We start from the raw sequence: 19,658 nt of genomic DNA, 5'->3' as shown, positions 1-19,658 counted from the left end.
ATATTATGGGTTCAGTGAGGATTAAACAAGCCCCTATGTGTATCAGCCCTGGTTTCCTTCTGTTCCAGAAACTCAGAGGCACTGTGTCCTCTGCAAGGAAAGGGCTCATTCCAGAACAATGCTTATAACGTGGTTGCTCACAGTCATTTCCCCTCTAGCCCTCTTCTCAGAAAATCTCATATTCCCTGTTCTTTCCACATGCTGGTGATGACCTCTTTGTAACACAAAATGGATTCTTTTCCACATTTGGATAGGAGGTTAAGTATACTTTGCATATTCCTAGAAATAGCCCAGGTTGAACCCAATGACCACATGGCCCCCGGGTTAGTGTCAACTGTTCTAGGTGCTGGGGATATGGCAATGGACAGAACAGAAATCCAAATCCTTGCCGTCATGAGCTTATTGTTATGTGCCCCCAAGTACGTCAACGATGACCCTTCCCATGGTTTCTTGGAATCTGGTGAGGGGTAAATATTCAAATTCATGGAAAATCACAAGTTTTCCTCTAATTGACCCAATGAAGCTCACTGACCCCTGGGAACACCAGGAATGTGGCTGTAGCCAGAACTTCTCAAGCTGCGACATGTTCAGGGATCACCTGGGGCTCTGGGTATCCGTCAGATCCTGGCTCAGCAGGTCTGGGGTCTGGTCTAAGAATCTGCATTTCTAACAAGTTTGGATGTCTCTGGTCTGCGGACCACACTTTGACTATCCAGGGTTTAAGTGATGCTTTATCTCATCCCACCAAATGTAATCTTATTTTCCTGCAGCTTTTAGTAAAACTCTGAATATGCAGAAGAAAAACTAATTTTATTAGCATATTCCAGTTGTCTACATTTTTGGACAGGGCTGTAGGTGTGGGTGTCAGATCTGGTTTTCAAGTGACCAGGAGCAGCCTGGAGCATGCACTTCACTGATGCAAGCCCGTTTCCTCATCTGTGAGTGGAGACTCTTCCTACTTCTGTCTCATTTATGCAAAACCTTAATTGTTGGACATTTTTAAGGGATGGATTTAAAGTCTCCACTTGACCATTTTAATCTGTGATTTTTAGTTAAGTTGTGTGCCATCTCTGGCAAAGTTGCCAGGGTTCTGAAATCTTACCTTTAGCAATGATATACTGGCATTTTGAAGGCATACCCGCTGTCTCTAGAGCAAATATACAAGAGGCAACCATTCATTGACTGTTCACTAAGTGCCAGGCAATATGGTGACAGCTGTGCAGGGATTAGCTCATTTAATCTTTGTAACAACTCTATGATTCAATGATTTCTCCAAACAGTCAAAACAAAAGCCACAAAACTGAAGGTCACAGAGAATGTCATTGGCCCAAATGCGTATTTTATAAATGGGCGCAATGTAGATTGGACCTGGCTCTGTCTGACTTCTAGACCTACGCTCTTGCATATATTTAAATAATTTCAGTGACAACAGAGTTACTGTAGCAAAACAAATGCAGAAACATGGCCAAGGAAGTTAAAATGCTCAGCTCTGTATCAAGTCTTTTATTAAGGCACTCCCCAAACTTAGGTTAATTTAGACTTTCTCTGTTAGTAAATGCCAGTGCCAGGTTAGAATCAGATCAATAATATAGAAGCATGTTTCCATCACCGTCATGTGCAGAGGTGTTGGCCATCCAAGTTTCAAGCTGAAATCCATCCCCCACGCCCATCATTAATATTCCTGGAATCACATTGTCATAGGAGTTTGGGGGGTGGGTGGGTGTGCCTTTATGTATATGAGGTTCAAAAAGGTGGGAGACTGGTAGCCCAAAATAGAAATATATTTCTTGTTAAAGGCATAATACAAAAATATCTTTTCATTAGGAGTTGCTGATGGTACTGTAGATATTAACTTTGAATGAAAAGTACCATCAGTTGTAACACACAAACTGCTTTATCCTTTATGTACAAATAAAAGAGAGAATTTATTTTCATTCTGAGTTTATTTAACATTTCATCCAGTTGAACTGAAATAATACATGGCCTCCAACACTGGCAAGACGCTGTGCTAATACTGAAATAAAAGCTGCCAGTCAGTAAACACTTACAATCATCATCCTTTGTATCATGTTAATAGAAATATTAATAACTACTTAGCTTTATAAGCTTATTGCACTTCATGTGGATTTTTTTTTCTCCAGAAAAGGTATTTCTAAAAGATCGGCAAGGATTGCCAATCTTGATTTGTTCTTTCTTATAAACTGTGATCAACATACAGTTGATAGCTTTATATAAAAGCATTAAGAGTCTGAAGCATCAAAAAACAACGTTTAAAAAGATGCAGCTCCATGTTCATCATCCCTTTTATAATCTCTTTTTTTTTTTTTTGAGATGGAGTTTCGCTCTTGTTGCCCAGGCTGGAGTGCAATGGTGCGATCTTGGCTCACTGCAACCTCCAGCTCCCGGATTCAAGCGATTCTCCTACCTCAGCCTCCCGAGTAGCTGGGATTATAGGCATGTGCCTCCATGCCTGGCTAATTTTTTGTATTTTTAGTAGAGGCGGGGTTTCTCCATGTTGGCCAGGCTGGTCTCAAACTCCTGACCTCAGGTGATCCACCCGCCTCGGCCTCCCAAAGTGCTGGGATTACAGGGGTGAGCCACCGCACCCGGCCATTCCTTTTATAACCTTTCACACACATAACCGGAGTGTGTAAAATTTTGGTTAGTTTGTCAATCTTCTAACCAGTCATTAGCTCTTCACTGGAGGTTAACATTCTGAAATGGAGCTACACACTACCTGGTAGGGGGAGGACTCTGAGAGGAGCGGGACACCTGGGGCAGGCAGCAGTGCCTTAGCTTCTTATGAAAAGAGCCCTTCAGCACCTCATGGAGAGCTGCCCTGAATTTCAGGCTTTTACCACTTTATAAAGAGACGCGTCGAGGACAACAGAATCTGTCCAAGGCCAGAATGTCATGGGAAAACCGTTTTGCTTCCAATGGTTTAAGACAGAAAATCTAAATAAGAAGACTCTGGCAGCATCAAGGAAGGCTCTGAGTGGCCCAAAGCTTCAGATCTATTAATCCTTTCAGAGAAAAGAGAAACACAGACACAAGGCACGCCATTTTTTCTTTATGAGGAAATTCAGTCTGGTCACATTGTCAGAAAAAAAATCTACCAAAACTAAATAGTTTCTATATTTTTTTCATTTACAATCTCTGAATACAATGATCTACACTTCATGAAATGTCACCCCTCAGTATCCGTGGATGCTTGGTTCCAGGACCGCCCTCCGATACCAATATCTGCAGATGCTCAAGTTCCTGATATAAAATGGCACAGTATTTGCATATAACCTAGGCACATCCTCCTGTATACTTGCTAAATCATCTCTAGATTGCTTATAACACCTAATACAATGTAAGCACTATGTAAATAGTTGTTATACTGTATTGGTTTTTAAATTTGTATTATTTTTCATCGTTATGTATATTTTTTATCTTTTTAGAAAATATTTTCAGGCCGGGTGCGGTGGCTCACGCTTGTAATCCCAGCACCTTGGGAGGCCAAGGCGGGCGGATCACGAGGTCAGGAGATCGAGACCACAGTGAAACCCCGTCTCTACTAAAAATACAAAAAAATTAGCCGGGCGTGGTGGCGGGCGCCTGTAGTCCCAGCTTCTCAGAGAGGCTGAGGCAGGAGAACGGCGTGAACCCGGGAGGCGGAGCTTGCAGTGAGCCGAGACTACGCCACTGCACTCCAGCCTGGGTGACAGAGCGAGACTCCGTCTCAAAAAAAAAAAAAAAAAAAAAATTTTCCATCCAAACTTGGTTGAATTCACAGATATAGAGCTCACGGATACAGAGGGCCAACTGTCTATGACGTTAAACATCTACAGAGTTGAAACATAATCTGTCATATTAAATATATTATCTATGAAATCACTACAGATGATGTAAACAGTGGTACATGGTTTCATTATTTTCAAATGAAGTGGAATGCAACATACAATATTCAAGTAAAATTCATTGTGACTGATTCATACACACATTATCACTGTATCTTTCTGAAAGCCAAAGAGATCTATAAGGATGACAAGAAAAGACATGTAGGTAGCTGGAACTGTAGTCTCACTTCTTACCAAAAAAAAAACAATGAACTGGATTCAGCCCACTCATACAGCATTGGTATTGAATATACTTCCAAAATTTGACATTTGTACATTTCAGTTATTTCATTATTTGATGTAAATAATTGAATATAAAGTCAATAACTGCAAGGTAAGATTATCATCTTTATAAGAACAAAAAACAATAAATTAAAAGTCAACCAAGGCAATCCACTCACAATCTGAATGTATATAATGATCCAGCAGGGAAGGCATGTTGCAGTGGTCTGTGACTGACTTTTGGAAGGGGTGTGAAGGAGCTTTTACCCTCCAAATCCAAAAGCTTCATCACCTTCATTGGGCTAGCGCAATCCCCAAACTAGAAGCAAACTGCCCTTAATATTTCAGGGTAAGTTTTTATAGATTAGCCCAGAGCTTTTGTATTTTCCCAGTTCACTGCTGAGATCTCCTTGATTTGCAATGGGAGTGAGATGAAAATTCAGTATTTTAAACAGATTTCTTTTTTCACTGATTGATAATCAATAGAACATTTACTGACCATATACTGAGCACCTATTCTATGCCTACCAGTGCTTTTTTAAAACCTGGGTGAGGGCTGGTATATCGTCTTTGAAAAACAATGACTATAAAAGCTACAGGAAAGGTATTTCTATAAATCATAACATGATTCAGTGTAAGGGAGTATCAGGCACTTGGCCCACGCCAGGTGCTCTGTTAAAGTAGCAGCTTTATTCTAAAAGGCTAATGTGGATCTTTAAAAGGTTTCCGTAACTGGGAGAACCCAGGTTGAACAGGATTTTTCTCACCAGCATGGCTACACCAGCTTTGCAGTGGCAGAATGAGCTGCAGAGGTTTCCTCCCTGCTTTACAATCCCTTATTGAAGTACACGCGTCGCAATTCAGGATGGCTCTCTTGGATCTTAGCTTGCAACTCGGCCTCCAAGCTTGTCACAGACATGGAACTGGGATAAGGGAGAAATGACAGGGTTATTACACAGGCAGAGGTGAGAATCAGGACCTAGAAAGAGCAGGGAGAAGGCACAGGTGTGGAGATCCCAGGACTGGTACAGTGGGTCTTGTTGGAGAAATGCTTCATGCGGCTAGAAAACGAGATCACGTTCCTTTCAGAAAAATGTCACTCATAATGAAAGAAATGCACTGGAGAACCCAACACCCAACTTTTCCCTCTCATATCATTAAAAGGTGAAATCTCTTATTGCCGGCAAGAGTGTATGGTGATGACACTCTCAGGCCCTGCTGGTGTTGGAAAAACCATTTGTGGCAATGCCACTTCCTAAGAAAAACGTATCAATCATTTGCAATGTTCACCATTGATAAAAAAAGAGATATGCAATCAGTGAAATGCATAACATTGATAATCTGCCTACATTAATGTGCTTTTGTTTACTGTATGTAATACACGCTTATTAAAAAAATTTCAAAAAATACTAAAATGTACAAAAAAAAAAAAAAAACCAAAACATTTATAATCCCGCTGAGAGATAACCACTGTTAGTCTTTAAGTGCTTAAAAATGTATTTGAAGGTATTATGGGTGTATATATATTAAAGCTTATTCTTTAAGAGAAACGCACACTCATTAAAGTATAAAGAAAAATTGTCCAGAATACCTACCAGAAAAACTGCTAATATTTTGATATGTAATTAGTTTAAAAAAAATATTTGAGGCTGGGCGCAGTGGCTCACACCTGTAATCTCGGAGCTTTGTGAGGCTGAACCAGGAGGATTTCTTGAGGCCAGGAGTTTGAGACCAGCCTGGGCAACCTGGTGAGACCCAAATTTTTGTATCTATAAAAATAAAAAATAAGACAGGTGTGTTGGTGTATGCCTGTGGCTCCAGCTACTCAGGATGCTGAGGCAGGAGGGTTGCTCGAGCCCAGAAGTTCAAGGCTGTAGTGAGCTATGACTGTGCCATTGCACTCCAGCCTGGGCAAGAGAGTGAGACCCTGCCTCAAAAACAATAAAAAAATTGATTAATATAGTTGACATGTGATAGACTGTAAGGTTAAAAAAAGTCAGGATATAAGCTTATATTTAAAATATGCAAAACAAATTTTAAAAATTACGAATATAGAAAAAAGGTAGGAAAAAAAATCCCATGATGGCTATTGTTTATGTAGTGGGCCTTTGAGTGATTTTAAATGATGATGACGACACTGATGATGGTAATGATAATGGCTATGACTTACAGCTCACTTGCTGGGCCAGACGTTATGCATTTTAACCCTTAGGAAAACTCTGTAAGTCCAGTATTATAATTGTACAGGTAAGGAAACCTGAGGTGCAACTGAGATGTTGAAGGCAGATCTTTCTTGATCCCAAAGCCCTGCTATACCACCTCTTGGTCTTTCTGTTTTGCCACTGATCTCTAAGTATCTGTAATTACTATGAATGTATGTTAAAGGCCCAAGTCTGATCTTGGAATTAAAGTTATTCAAACCTTGGTGGATGATGGGGAGTATTCTCTTTTTTATCTTCCAGGAGAGTTTGTTTGAAATTGGAATAATCTGTTTCTTGACAGTTGGGAGAAACTTACCTGTAAAACTACCTGTTTCTTGTGTTTTCTTTGTAGGAGGAAGATTAAATGCTGCTTCAGCTTCCTTAATGACTATCTGGCCTATTCTGACTTTCTAATTTTTCAGCTTTGCTAATATTTTTTCCAGAAATTTGTCTATTTTGCTTGTTTTCAAATCTGTTGGTATAATGTTGGTATTATTTTTAATCACTGCTGAACCTACAGTTATACCTCTTTTTCATTCATATTATTTGTACTTTTCTCTTTCTCTTTTTGTTTTGATTAATCTCACCAGACAACTGTCTATTTTGTTTCTATTTTCAAAGAACCAAGATTTCACTTTGTTGATCCTCTACTCTTTCTGTTATTTATTTTATTGATTTCTGATCTTCATCTCCTTCCTTCCTTCTTTTCTGATGTTTATTCTTTTGTGCTTTTTTTTTTTTAAGTTGGGACATTTAGTGCATTGATTTTCAGCTATTCTTCATAATATAAACATTTAAAGCTATAAATATCTCTCAAAGCAACACATTTGCTGCTTCTCAAAAATGTTAATAAAGAATGTTTTCATTATCACTTGTTCACATAGGAGACGGGAAACTGTGGTGCATTCATACAATGCACTATTATACAACAACAACAATGAATGGACTATAGGTACACACAATAATGTAGATGAATCTTAGTTCTGACACTGAATAAAAAGAACAAGTACTAGAAGACTATACATCTTATGACAGTGTGACACCCTTGTCTAAAAAGTTCCTAAGACAAACTAAAGATACATACACAAATATAAAATGCAAGAGCATGAAATTCAGCATAGTGGTTAAATCTGCAGGGGAGGCAGGGACACAGGTTGGGAGGAGCCTATAAGATGTAACTTATTGGAGATATATATATATATATATATATATATATATATATATATATATATATTTTTTTTTTTTTTTTTTTTTTTGAGACAGAATCTCGCACTGTTGCCCAGGCTGGAATGCAGTAGCGTGATCTTGGCTCACCACAGCCTCTGCCTACTGGGTTCGAGCGATTCTCCTGCCTCATTGGGCACTGAATTTGTGGATATTCATTATATTATTAGTATAAGTAAAATAAAAATAAGCAAAACAGGGTCATGCTTGGATCAATGAGGATACTATGTTATGAGCCAAGGAAAAACTGAGGAGCCAGAGACCTCAAGAAGCCAAACATACAATGTATAAACAACAAAACAGAGTAAGAAGCTATTTTAAAATACAGTAAAACAAAAGAGGATTGGTTTCTCAAATGTAAAACCACACGCTTTCTGAGGGCCTTGACCTAAGGACACTAGTAGTTACAGAAAGCTTTCCATTTCTACCCCTAGAGTTTCAATGAATCATAAAAAATAAATGTTGGGCTATATTTTATTTCTTGCAGCACTCAAAGAAAAAAGGCCAAAGTAGAAAGTTTCTCTATGGGTTTTCAAATCTAAAACCCTTTCAATCTGAAAATAATTACAGCTACATTTCTTAGGTGTTTTACAACTTGGTATCAGGCACACCCCTTGGCATTTTATGTGCTCAAAGTCTAAACTGCTAAATCAAGGCCAGCTGCTGAACACCAGTGTTCATAAGCCACATACTACAGAAATGGACATTCTCAGGTTGAGCCCCAAGACTCTGGGGTTTGTACAATTAAGCAGGTATCATTATCCCACTGTAGAGATGAGGAAATTCATCTGAATCAGGCTCCCAGAGCAAGTTCTGAAGGTCCTGCCCTCTTCAAGGGGGGCTCTTCAGTAGGCTCCAAGGTGATGAAGGGCTCCTGTCCATGAGGTTTAAATTTCTATTCAAGAACAGCAGGGTCGGAGACAGAGTGGGAGAGCAGATACAAGGTGGAGTTCTCGATCAGGTAGAGGGATCTGACAGCATTAGTTCTAGAACAGAACACCTCATCCAAAACCAACTCCGCAAGGCTGGGGGATTAAAGACCATATGTTCGGGACCTACTGGCCCACAAAGGAAAGGGTATTACCAAGGCAAGGGGCCTGGTAACACTTACAGAAAATGACAGACAACAAAATGCCGCTGCTTTGTGTGTTGGAGTCAGGTCAAGAGCAGGCTGGAGACCTGATGTAGAAAATGCCGATTTAACGCCAGTTAGTCCTGTTCTCACATCAAAGGCAGGATTCAAGGGCAGTTTGCGATGAGAGGCGTGCACAAGAAAGCTTTTAAGGCAAAAAACTAAGTGGGAAGAAAGGAAGCAAATATACCAACCACCTAAGCTAAGTGCATATAATTGCTGTCCCTGGGGGTGGAACTTGCATCCTATCATATCTGTATTACAGATGCATTTGCCAGTGGATTGGACCATATTTTAAATTTTCATAAAAGCAAATTTGCATCAGAGTTAATCTGATTCTCACAAAAGAATAAAGCATTTTCAAATTTAATGGAAGGGGGTAGAAAAGAGCTGGGTGCATCTGAAATTAGACAGATGTGGGTTTGATTTCTGCCTCCATCCCTTCCTTTTAAGAGACCCTGGCTTCAGTATCTTTTGAGTCTCAACTTCCCTGCCAATGAAATGGAATAATGGCACCTGCACCTTCAATTGGTTTTTAGGATTAATACTCATGATGATTCTGACGAATAACAAATACATACCTTTTCTGAGGAAACAGGGCACAACACAGGGGTGTAGCAAACACCAAACTTAAAAAAAATACAAAAAAAAGTCAGACCATTTTAAATGGTTAATTTTCAGCTTATTTTTCTATTTTACTTTTATAACAATCCCTTCTTTCTTCAGAGCATTACGTTCTGTGTTGTCTAACAAAAATAAGTCCTGTTTGTGTAAGTTTTATTACCTAGGATTGCCAAAATAATGAAAAAGTCACAGAGACAACAATTTAAAAAAGAATCACACGAATAGCCCCCCATGTTGTAGGTTTCTCTAAAGACAGTTTACTTCTATTTAATTATTTGGGGCCATGCATTCCAGATGTTCTGAGATGGCCTCATTTTCAAAATTTGTATCCCATATTACCCAGTCACCTTTCATACGCTGTGTATTTATATTTTAAAAGAAATTAATTATGTAAAAGTAATTTCTACTCACCAGAAGCCAACTAACCCAACTTGAATGGGTGCACTCATCCATGGGAACCTCTGTGTTGAGAAATAAATGGCTTTGAATACTTTTTATACAGGGTCTTAGAGGCAATATCTTCTGATTAACTGGAAGGAACCTCTCACCACATTTCAAGATTCAGATAGAACATGGTTAGTGAAATTTGGGGGAAATGCTGCAACAAGGGTGTTAGCCTAACTTCCTGTAACCTTCTTTGATCTGTAAATCAGCACACACGCAAAGATCAAGTGGCTTCTATTTTTCCTCCCAGTCCCCCATTTAATCTGAGCACTGCTTGGGTATATAATGGAGGTGGGGAAGTAGCTGTCATTTAATTGTAATGAATCCCCTGGCTGGGGAGGTAGGACAGCCTGGTGCCAAGGTCTCAAGTCTCCCGCCTTCTGGTTAGTTCCTGACTGTGGGGAACCACAGGCAGAGCCTAGCCTCTCCAAGCTTCCGTTTCCTTGTGATGGTACAAAATGAACATCACTAACAGCTTCCTAAAAGTGTGTGGATGAAGATATGCCAGATCACATTCATAAAGCACCTAGTATGGTGGCTGGAACATATCAGAAACCCAACAAATGCTTACCATCCCTCACCCCACTTTACACCTCGTCTTTCTTGGTTTTAGTTGCTGTCAGTATGGTTAAAACTATTTCTGGCATAAAACATTTTTGCTAGTCACACTTTTTTTTTTTTTAATGGAAATGAACAAGTTGGTTGGTCTTCTGGAGAATAAATGCTGTTAGATTTTTAGTTTTAAAAAAGGAGTGGTACTTAAATACACAATATAAAGAGTGATGAGATATATGGTTATATAAATAAGGCCACAGAAATCACTGCAACCAAGGTGTGAGCTGGTTGTAATGAAATCAGCCAGCTTAGTTAGGAGTCAACACAAGCTGTTAGAAGACAACATGCATGGGAGGCATACCCTGGTCCCCAAAGAGACTCCTCTGGGGAAAAGGTTCATCAGGAGGGTTGGCGTAAGGGGGAAAGGGATGGATTGGAGAGGAAGGGAGCAGCATCGTCAAGGAAACTAGTCTTCACAGGTTACACAGAGGGGCCCCTCTCCTCAAAAGATAGAATGAAAAGGAAAACACTGTATCTTTGGCAACTGTCTCTGTTTGATGATGAAGGATTGTCATAAGGAGATGCTAAATACTCCCCAGCGCTTCCTAGCCAGGTGACATCTGGGCTGGGACAGATTTGGTGATGGGAGGGTAAACATAGTACTTAGCGAGAGCCTGTGCTCTTGACCCTGTGAGAGCAGCCTCCTCATTGTAAGTAGACTCTGGTCTGCAGCAAACTGGGCTAACCTGTTACTCAAAAGAGAGCAGCTGTGTGCCACCTTGGAGGTGGGCATGTGCAAACTACGTGCTGACTGTGGCTCATGCAGAGGGTTTTGACGGAAAGGCTCTTTGCACAGCCAAGGCCCCTAGACAATTTCAGTATCCTGCAAAACCCAACCTGATGCCATGTCTTCTTCCAGCACCACCCCCGCACCCCATCCTGCCTTATTCACCCCTACCTTGCAACCAGAAAGTCTGATACCACATTAGTCAGCTGAGGATGTTTGGTGTTTCGCTAGATATTCACAACATTTCTCAAGGTAGGAACATATCTTACCTAACAGAACTGTGCAAACAGAGCAAGTTTAGATGAAAAGTCCAAATGAATTAAAGAGAGTAATTATATGTTTAAAAGATACATAAATATATATATGTGTGTGTATATATATATATGTACATATATATATTCAATGAAGTAAAAAACTCAAAAGTCAGGCTGGGTGTGGTGGCTCATGCCTGTAATCCCAACACTTTGGGAGGCTGAGGCAGGTGGATCACAAGGTCAAGAGATCAAGACCATCCTGGCTAACATGGTGAAATCCCGTCTCTACTAAAAATACAAAAATTAGCTAGGCATGGTGGTACATGCCTGTAGTTCCAGCTACTCAGGAGGCTGAGGCAGGAGAATTGCTTGAACCCGGGAGGCAGAGTTTGCAGTGAGCCAAGGTTATGTCATTGCACTCCAGCCTGGTGACAGAGCAAGACTCGGTCTCAAAAAAAAAAAAAAAAAAAAAAAAGCAAAAAACCCCCTGAAAAGTTAGTGACTCTAAATTCTTTCTTCCCCAGTGATCTAATAGCTTTATTGACATACAACTGCCCATATTTAATGTAAGTTCTGACATACATATATGGCTGTGAAGCCATAAGCACAATCAAAATAATGAAAATATTCACCACCCCGAATGTTTTTCTTGTTCCTTGTACCACTTTGCAGTTCCTCCCTCTTCCATAAACCCTGCACCCCATTATATGGCAACCTCTCATCTTTCTGTCACTAGATATTAGTTTACATTTTCTAGGACTCGATATACAGTATCTATTCTTTTGTGTAATTACTTTGAGACGCCTTCATGTTGTGTGTAGCACTAGTTTGTTACTTTTTATTGCTAAGTATTCCCTTGTATTCACAAGATGTTTATCCATTTTCCTTTTATTGGCATTTGAGCTGTTTCTAGTTTTTGGCTATTACAAATAAAGCTGCTATGAATATTCGTCTTTTATGGACATGTGCTTCTATTTTTCCTAGGTAAAGATCTAGGAAGGAAATGGCTGGATCATAGGGCAGCATCTGTTTAACTTTGTAAGAAACTGCCTCACTATTTTCTCACATGACTGTACCACATTAATTCTACCAGCAGTGGGGAGGGTTTCAGTTCTTCCATTTCCTCACCAACACTTGCTATGATCAATCTTTTTAGTTTTTGACATTCTAATAGGCATTTAGTGGCAGCTCCTGTGGTTTTAATCTAGGTTTCCCAACGACTAAAGACACTAAGCATTTTTTAGGTGCTTGAGAACTGTATGTACTTGGTAGAGTGTCTGTTCAAACCTTTTGCCCAGCTTAAGTGTTGAGGGTCCTTTATGTATTCTGGACACAAGTCCTTTATCACATACGTGCCTTGTAAACATTTTTCCCCATGCTGTTTCTTCTCTTTTCATTTTCTGTATAGTTTTAAAGAACAGAATTTTAAAAATCTGATGAAGTCCAATTGATCAATTTTTCTTTTATGGACTGTGCTTTTTGTGTTGAGTCTAATAAGTCTTTGCCTAGCCCGTGTTCTATTGTATTTTCTTCTAGAAGTTTTACAGTTGTAGACTTTTACATTAGATTCTATGAATCACTGAGAGCTAATTTTTATATATGGTATAGTCAATTCCTTACACATTGCCTACATCCCAGCCAACCTAACCATCCACAAACTTCCAACAATTCATGCTCTGTGTACTTGCTGAGCTTCTGTAGAGCATGTGGCCCTCAGCCAGTCCTCTTCAAAGAAGTCTCTGCTCACCTACACCAGTTGGGTAAGATACCTCCTATGCGCTCCCTCTGTGCCCCAAACTTTAAACGCTGCGTATTTTAACAATGTGTCTTGCGCCTCTTCCCCATATCATGCTACATGCTCCCTGAGATCAGGGGTCGTATCCTCTTTCTGGGACTCTAGTGTCTACCATATTGCTTGGCATAAACAAGCATTCAGCAAAGGGCTGCTGAAAAAAACATGAATGAACAAATAAATGTTACATTCCCATTCAATTAGCAGTCCTGAAAGCCTACTGAGTAGACACAGCAGTCTACTTTTATAAAAGGGAATATAAAAGAATTAGAACTTAAGGAACAAGAACTAGCATAGGACCCAAACCATATCAATTTCACTCCCAATGAAAGTGCCATCAAGAATGACCCAAGTTTAAAGAGACAACAGGAACTATTCTTCAAGAAAACTGTTCACAGAAGCACCAGATTTTAGGCGGTGAACTTCTTGGTTTACTGCAAAAATTTCCGTGAGTCACCTGCCCACAGCTGATGTGTTTTTTCCAGCTCTCCACTTGGGGAGAGATAAGGCGTAGGGGGATGGATGAGTCATGCTGAATGCTCCCCAAGCATCACCGTTTAAAAAAGCCCAGAATGTTCAATTAGTTTCATGTTTGCGGAGGAGTCTGGTCATTTCTAAGGTAAAAGCCCAGATAAGTACCTCCTTGCAGAGGAGGCACACCTGGCCCTGGGGCAGTGGGAACAAGCGGAAGGCCAACCAAGGCACACCACCGCATGGGCATCATGAGCTGCCAAGGAAGTGACCTCTTCAGCCTTTGCGGAAGAGGCATGGTGAAGCCCGCCTTCACAATAGAATGTGAAAGTGTTTTGAACGTGGAAAAGTAGGGATTTTAATATAAGCTGCCTCTGTGTCTATTTTAGCAATGACTATACTATCATTTCTGTCCTATGGTCCTCTCTACATGGGTGAAATGCAACACCGACATATACCAGCAACTGTGAACTTGGGGAGTGGTAGGTATGTATGGGTACCTTAATGGTAGTTAGCCATTACTTTTTCAGAGCAATATCTCTCATTGAGGTCTGAAGGAGTACACCTACAACCAGGCTCCCTTGTAGCCAGTGAGGTGCCAGGACTGAGCCATGAGCTGTCCTGATCATCTCTCTGGACCTTCACAATGGGGTTCTGAAACCAGTGGGCCCTTCCATGTGGGGCGTGGGGCAGGTAGGGGGCTTCGGTGGGAAGAGTAGGCATGGCAGCACACTTCCAAATGATGATCAAAGGGTACAATATCAAGCAAAGCTAAAAAAACCACAGCTTAAGATGAAAGTGGGGAGAACACAATAGTTATTCATCTTATCATTGTGTAACAGCCTGGAACAATGCGGCAATGGTGGGCTAAGACGGGGCTAACTGCTTTTATCATTTTCCAGCTCCTTCGCATGAGAAAATGCCAGGGTACATCTACAGAAATTTCCATCTGTCACAGCAAGAAACTTATGCAACATGCCCAACTATGTCTTCTGTTCAGTGTTTGTCACTGAGATGAGAGGAACTGTGCTAACTGTTCCCAAACTGAGACCCCATGAAGCTGCTACTCCGAATGATTTTTTTCATTCCTGATAGGATGACTACTGACTTGTACACATGTCATTCCAAATTCACATCATCTCTTCATTTTTACCCAGTCAGGCATCCAATAGATGACTGTGTGTGTAACTGAGTTACAACCTCTCAATAGTGGCAGTCTTTATTTACAAAAAGCTTTTTCAAATATCTGAGATTAGAAATAAAATCTTCCTGGGAACATCTTTTTATTTACGTAAGAGCCCAGGAAACTGGCCTTCGGCTTCTTTACTGTTTAGGTAGCAAATAATCTATACGGTTTGAAATCTGAAAAGAAATAAAAAGGGTTGAGAAAATGACAAAAGAACCACAGCTTACCTTCAAAAAGGCTTTCTTTTCCAAAGTGTTCATAATGAATGGAGGGATGGCTGGAAATAAAGATAGATCCACTTAAATCTTTATTTAATGCCAATTTTCAGCTTACTTTTTTTTTCAACCATTTGACAGAAAGCTTCTGTCACTTTTAGGCTATTTCCACTGTCACAGTAAAAACAGTTTGTAGCAATTCTTTAAATTATTACATTTGAATTCATTAGATTGAAAACTGTTCTGATTTTCTAAATTTTTGAACAGTAATATCACATCCTCTGCCAGCCAGAAAGTTTTATAATCTTGAAAAGAACTTTACTTTTAGGTTTAAGTAGACAAAAATAAAAATATCAGGAACTTTTTCTTCCTATATTAATAAAACAAAGGGCACAAGGCAGGGAGGATGGTGTAAAGAATCCTGCCTTGGAGTCAGGCAGAAACTGCTTCCGTACAGGCTAGACCAGGGGCCCCAACCCCTGGGCCATGGACTGGTATGGATCTCTGGCCTGTTAGGAATAGGGCTGCCCAGCAGGAGGAGGGCAGTGGGCAAGTGAATGAAGCTTTAGCTGTATTTACAGCTGCTCCCCATTGCTTGCATTACGCCTGAGCTCTGCCTCCTGTCAGGTCAGCGACCGCATTACATTCTCACAGGAGCCTGAACTCCATTGAGAACTGCACATACAAGGGATCTAGGTTGCCCGCTCCTTATGAGAATCTAGTGCCTGATGATCTGTCACTGTCTCCCATCACCCCCAGACGGGACTGTCTAGCTGCAGGAAAACAAGCTCAGGGCTCCCACTGATTCAACATGATGGTGACTTGTCTAATTATTTCATTATATGTTACAATGTAATAATAATAGAACTAAAGTACACAATACATTTAACGTGCTTGAATCATCCTGAAACCATCCCCCTGACCCCTGGTCCATGAAAAAATTGTCTTCCATGAAATGGGTCCCTGGTGCTAAAAAGGTTTGGGACCGCTGGGCTAGACCACTTGCTAGCTGGGTGACCCTGGAGAAGTTACCTAACTTCTCTGAGCCTCAGCTTTCTGTTTTCTTTTTCTATAAAATGGAGGAAATTGGAGACAATACTGCATGTAAAACACTGGGTATGCGGTGGACAGCATTCGTTCATTTGCTGACAACTTTTATCAGGCTAAACTGTCATATCCACTATTTCAATATGTCAATTACTCTTATAAATTGCACTAGGACAGAAAGATTGTATTTCTTCTCTGGGGACTAAATAGTGTTTAAAATAACCAAATCACTAGAAATGGATTTGTCCGTCTGGACTGGCTGAACTCTAAGAGGAGTAAGGCAATTCAAAACAGAAAAGACCACAATCAAAAGCAAACCCAGGGCCGGACATGGTGGTTCACAACTGTATACCTAGCATTCGGGGTGGGTGGATCATTTGAGCCCAGGAGTTCTAGACTAATTGGGCAACATACCAAAACCCTGTTTCTACAAAATATACAAAAATCAGCTGGGTGTGGTGGCGCACGCCTGTAGTCCCAGCTACTGGGGAAGCTGAGGTAGGAGGATCACCTGAGCTCAGGGAAGTTGAGGCTGCAGTGAGCCATGATCACAGCAACTGCACTCCAGCCTGAGGGACAGGGCAATATCCTGTCTCAAAAACAACGACGACAACAACAAACCAAACCCAGGGCAGAAGCTGGAGCCGCAACCTCGATTTCAGCAAATCTGGAAATCAGGGCTCAGTAGGAACACCGGGGTGGGCTCCATAGCCTCCTTTTAGGTTAGTGACAAACGTGCTGGTCCCTGGACTCAGGAGATGCTTTCCCATGTTTCAGGACTGTGGCTGTGCAGCCACCCCTACAGAACACATTAGCCTCAGGCAGGGCACCAAGGCACTCCTGTGTTAAACCAGATAATAGCAGTTTTCCCCCAATTTGCTGGAATGTGAATATCATATTCCTCAAAGTTTTCCTTCATGCACTTTTCAACTTTTGTTGCCTGCTCTTCCTTGCCTGCTGATGAGCAGTCACAGTGACAAAAGGAATTTAAAAACCGCAAAACAGTATCAATGGATGACTTGACAGCAGCTGATGAAGTATACTTCATTGGAGAGCTTCATTTTAATTGCCAAGCGCTGTTTGCATTCAGTTTAGATGATGAAAATTAAACATACTAATTTCTGTTTTTTTTCTGTGAAGAGCACTCTAACTGCCAGGCCCTCTGATTTCTCAGTCTGAGAACTTTCTTTAGGCCCCTGGTCTGAAGGTAGCTCTAAGCAGCCTTAGGGTGGACTAGAGATTCTCAGCAGAACTAAATACAATGTAGACTTTCTATTTTTGGTCATTCTGACCCCAGTCCCTATAGGGAAACCTGAGCAGTTGCTTGGCACACATTTTATCAGTAGCTGCTCTAACCATTCCAATTTGCTCCATCAGTTCCTTCTGGTCAAATTCCCACTGTATGGCCCTGGTCCAGCCCATCACTGCCTCTTGCCTGGATTACTGAGGCAGCCTCCCCGCACAGCCTCCACTGAATATTCTCATTCTCCTTCAGCCTATTCTCAACCCACCACCCAGAGTCACACAGATAAAACCTAAGTCAGACTGTGCTGCTCCTGTATGCAAAACCCTGCCTGGCTTCTTACCTCTCAGACTAAAACCCAGGTGTGAAACGCCAGGGCTGCCATCCACGCTCTGCCGTCTGTGGCCTCCTGACTCCCTTCCTACTGCTCCCCACCCCTCCCACTGTGCCCCAGCTGCACCTGCACCCGTAATGCCTGTAACACACCAGGCAAACTCCTGCCTGTGGTTCCCTCTGCCAGAATATTCATCACCGATACCCACTTGGCTCACTCCCACACCTCCACCCAGTGCTCTTCCCCGGCTGCCCTACCCACACGCCCTAGCCCCATTGCCCCCTTGCCCTCATCACCACTGCACATACTACATACTTTATTTACTTGTTTATTTTCTGCCACCCCCAGTGGAAGGCAATTTCCACTAAGAGGTGTGATATATGTGTTTGTTTTCTGGTTCACGGATCCGTGAACGCTGGTTCAACCTGTATTTATGGAATAAATGACAAAGTCCTGCTAACCCATGCCAGGGGCTGCCATGAGAATCCTGGACACGACAACTTGCGTGATGGCTTGTTTCGCAGCGTTCGCCGACTCCCCCAAGCGGTTCCCATTCTCATCCGTGACGGGAATGCCAACTTTGAGTTCCCTGCAGAGCAAAACACATACAGAGAGCTCCACCAATGCCTTCAATAAACGTCCTGAAATAGTACTATGTTGGGAAAGATCAACCCTCTACTTAATTCAAATACCCACTCAAGTGTCATTTTTGGTACTGACACATCTGTTTTTTTTTTTTTTTTTTTTTTTTTTTTACAGTCTCACTCTGTTGCCCAGGCTGGAGTGTAGTGGTGGCTATCTCCACTGACTGCAACCTCTGCCTCCCGGGTTCAAAGCGATTCTCCTGCCTCAGCCTCCCGAGTAGCTAGAATTACAGGCATGTGACAGTGTGCCGGCCAATTTTTGTATTTTTAGTAGAGACGGGGTTTTGCCATGTTGGCCAGGCTGGTCTTGAACTCCTGACCTCAGGTGATCCACTCGCCTCGGCCTCCCAAAGTGCTGAGATTACAGGTGTGAGCCACTGCGCCCAGCAGACACATCTATTTTTAAATACCATGGATAAGTTTAATCCTCCTTTGATAGAAATAAAAGTAAAACAACACTAGTAAACTTTTAAAACAGGGTGTACCTTTTTCAGGAACAATATGATTCAAAGGGTGGACACACTAACTTCAATCTATGCTCATGTGCAAATTTGAGCAACTTTCCAAATGAGAAACAGATATAATACACAGCATTATTAAGTCAACAAACTTAATATGCTGACATGGAAACAGTCACTCGCACATGGCCCTACTGTATATTTATTAACTATATTTACTAACACTAAGTATAACTTCTACCGTTACCCCTGTTTTTCGTTATCCATTCCAAAATGCTTTTGTTGTTCTTTCTTCTCCTTTAATTTTTGCCAGTTCTACAACAATACTTCCAAAGATATAGAATAATGTACTTTAAGCCCCAAAAGAAAATTCTGGAGAAAAAAAAGGAATCTATTTTAGAGAATAAACTTTCTTTGGATAGACTTTGTCCAACCCAAGCACAACTCAATGTAAGCTTGAGATATATCTTTTAAACTTTTTATTATACGGACATAGAAAGACTATTCCAGCATCAGCCCCCTCCCCGCACTCCTCAGTCTGCTTCAATAATCAGTAACTCATCGCTAAGCTTGTTTTCTCAAGACGCCCATCCTCATCCCCAACCCCAGAGTATTTCAAAAGAAATCCAAGATCTCATATAATTTCACCTATACATATTAAAACAAGCATTTGAAAGTTTCAACAAAGCTAATTATTACAAGAGACTCTCCTGTCAAGCACATGTCCCTACTAAGAGTGCATATTCGTCTTACCTTTGCCTCATTAATGGAATATTAATGCAATTAGCAGCAGCTACGGCAGCAAAGGGAACAAAACGTCCTATCAGTGGTGAGACATGCTGCAGAGGAGAAAATTTCAAGAGCTTTATCTTATTTTTCCTGTACTAGTAAATGGAAATAACTTATTTCTTCTTGAAAACTCTGAAAAATGCAGAGTCCCA

At 41.0% G+C, this 19,658-nt stretch overlaps 1 protein-coding gene across 7 annotated transcripts in view, besides 1 other annotated feature; it reads right to left on the bottom strand.

Moving 5' to 3' along the window:
- Positions 1-1,924: 1,924 nt before the first annotated feature.
- The window catches only part of SFXN1 (sideroflexin 1), a 51,183-nt gene continuing 33,449 nt past the window's right edge, over positions 1,925-19,658 (bottom strand). For 4 of the 7 annotated variants that reach the window (NM_001322977.2, NM_001322982.2, NM_022754.7 and 1 more), the window contains exons 6-11: positions 19,471-19,556; positions 18,077-18,204; positions 15,004-15,053; positions 9,699-9,748; positions 9,245-9,292; positions 1,925-5,029 (exon numbers count right to left, since the gene is read on the bottom strand). In NM_001322977.2, the coding sequence (NP_001309906.1) occupies positions 4,933-5,029; positions 9,245-9,292; positions 9,699-9,748; positions 15,004-15,053; positions 18,077-18,204; positions 19,471-19,556 (459 nt within the window). In that variant the 3' untranslated portion in view covers positions 1,925-4,932. Of the gene's footprint in view, positions 5,030-9,244; positions 9,293-9,698; positions 9,749-15,003; positions 15,054-17,930; positions 18,205-19,470; positions 19,557-19,658 lie in introns of those variants that run through there. The other 3 variants (NM_001322981.2, NM_001322980.2, NM_001322983.2) reach the window with 2 other exon arrangements.
- Positions 13,518-14,717: an enhancer, noted in NCBI's record as "P300/CBP strongly-dependent group 1 enhancer chr5:174943953-174945152 (GRCh37/hg19 assembly coordinates)". NCBI's record gives its function as "activates an origin of replication core promoter dependent on BRD2, BRD4, P300/CBP, MED14 and CDK7 cofactors, with strong dependence on P300/CBP, by STARR-seq in HCT116 cells {active_cell/tissue: HCT116}" and the evidence as "EXISTENCE:reporter gene assay evidence [ECO:0000049][PMID:35650434]".

The sequence above is a fragment of the Homo sapiens genome, chromosome 5 (genome assembly GCF_000001405.40).
Source record: "Homo sapiens chromosome 5, GRCh38.p14 Primary Assembly".
In the NCBI taxonomy this organism is placed as follows: domain Eukaryota; kingdom Metazoa; phylum Chordata; class Mammalia; order Primates; family Hominidae; genus Homo; species Homo sapiens.
Note: the sequence above shows the minus strand (reverse complement) of the source record. Positions and strands in the feature narration are given on the sequence as shown.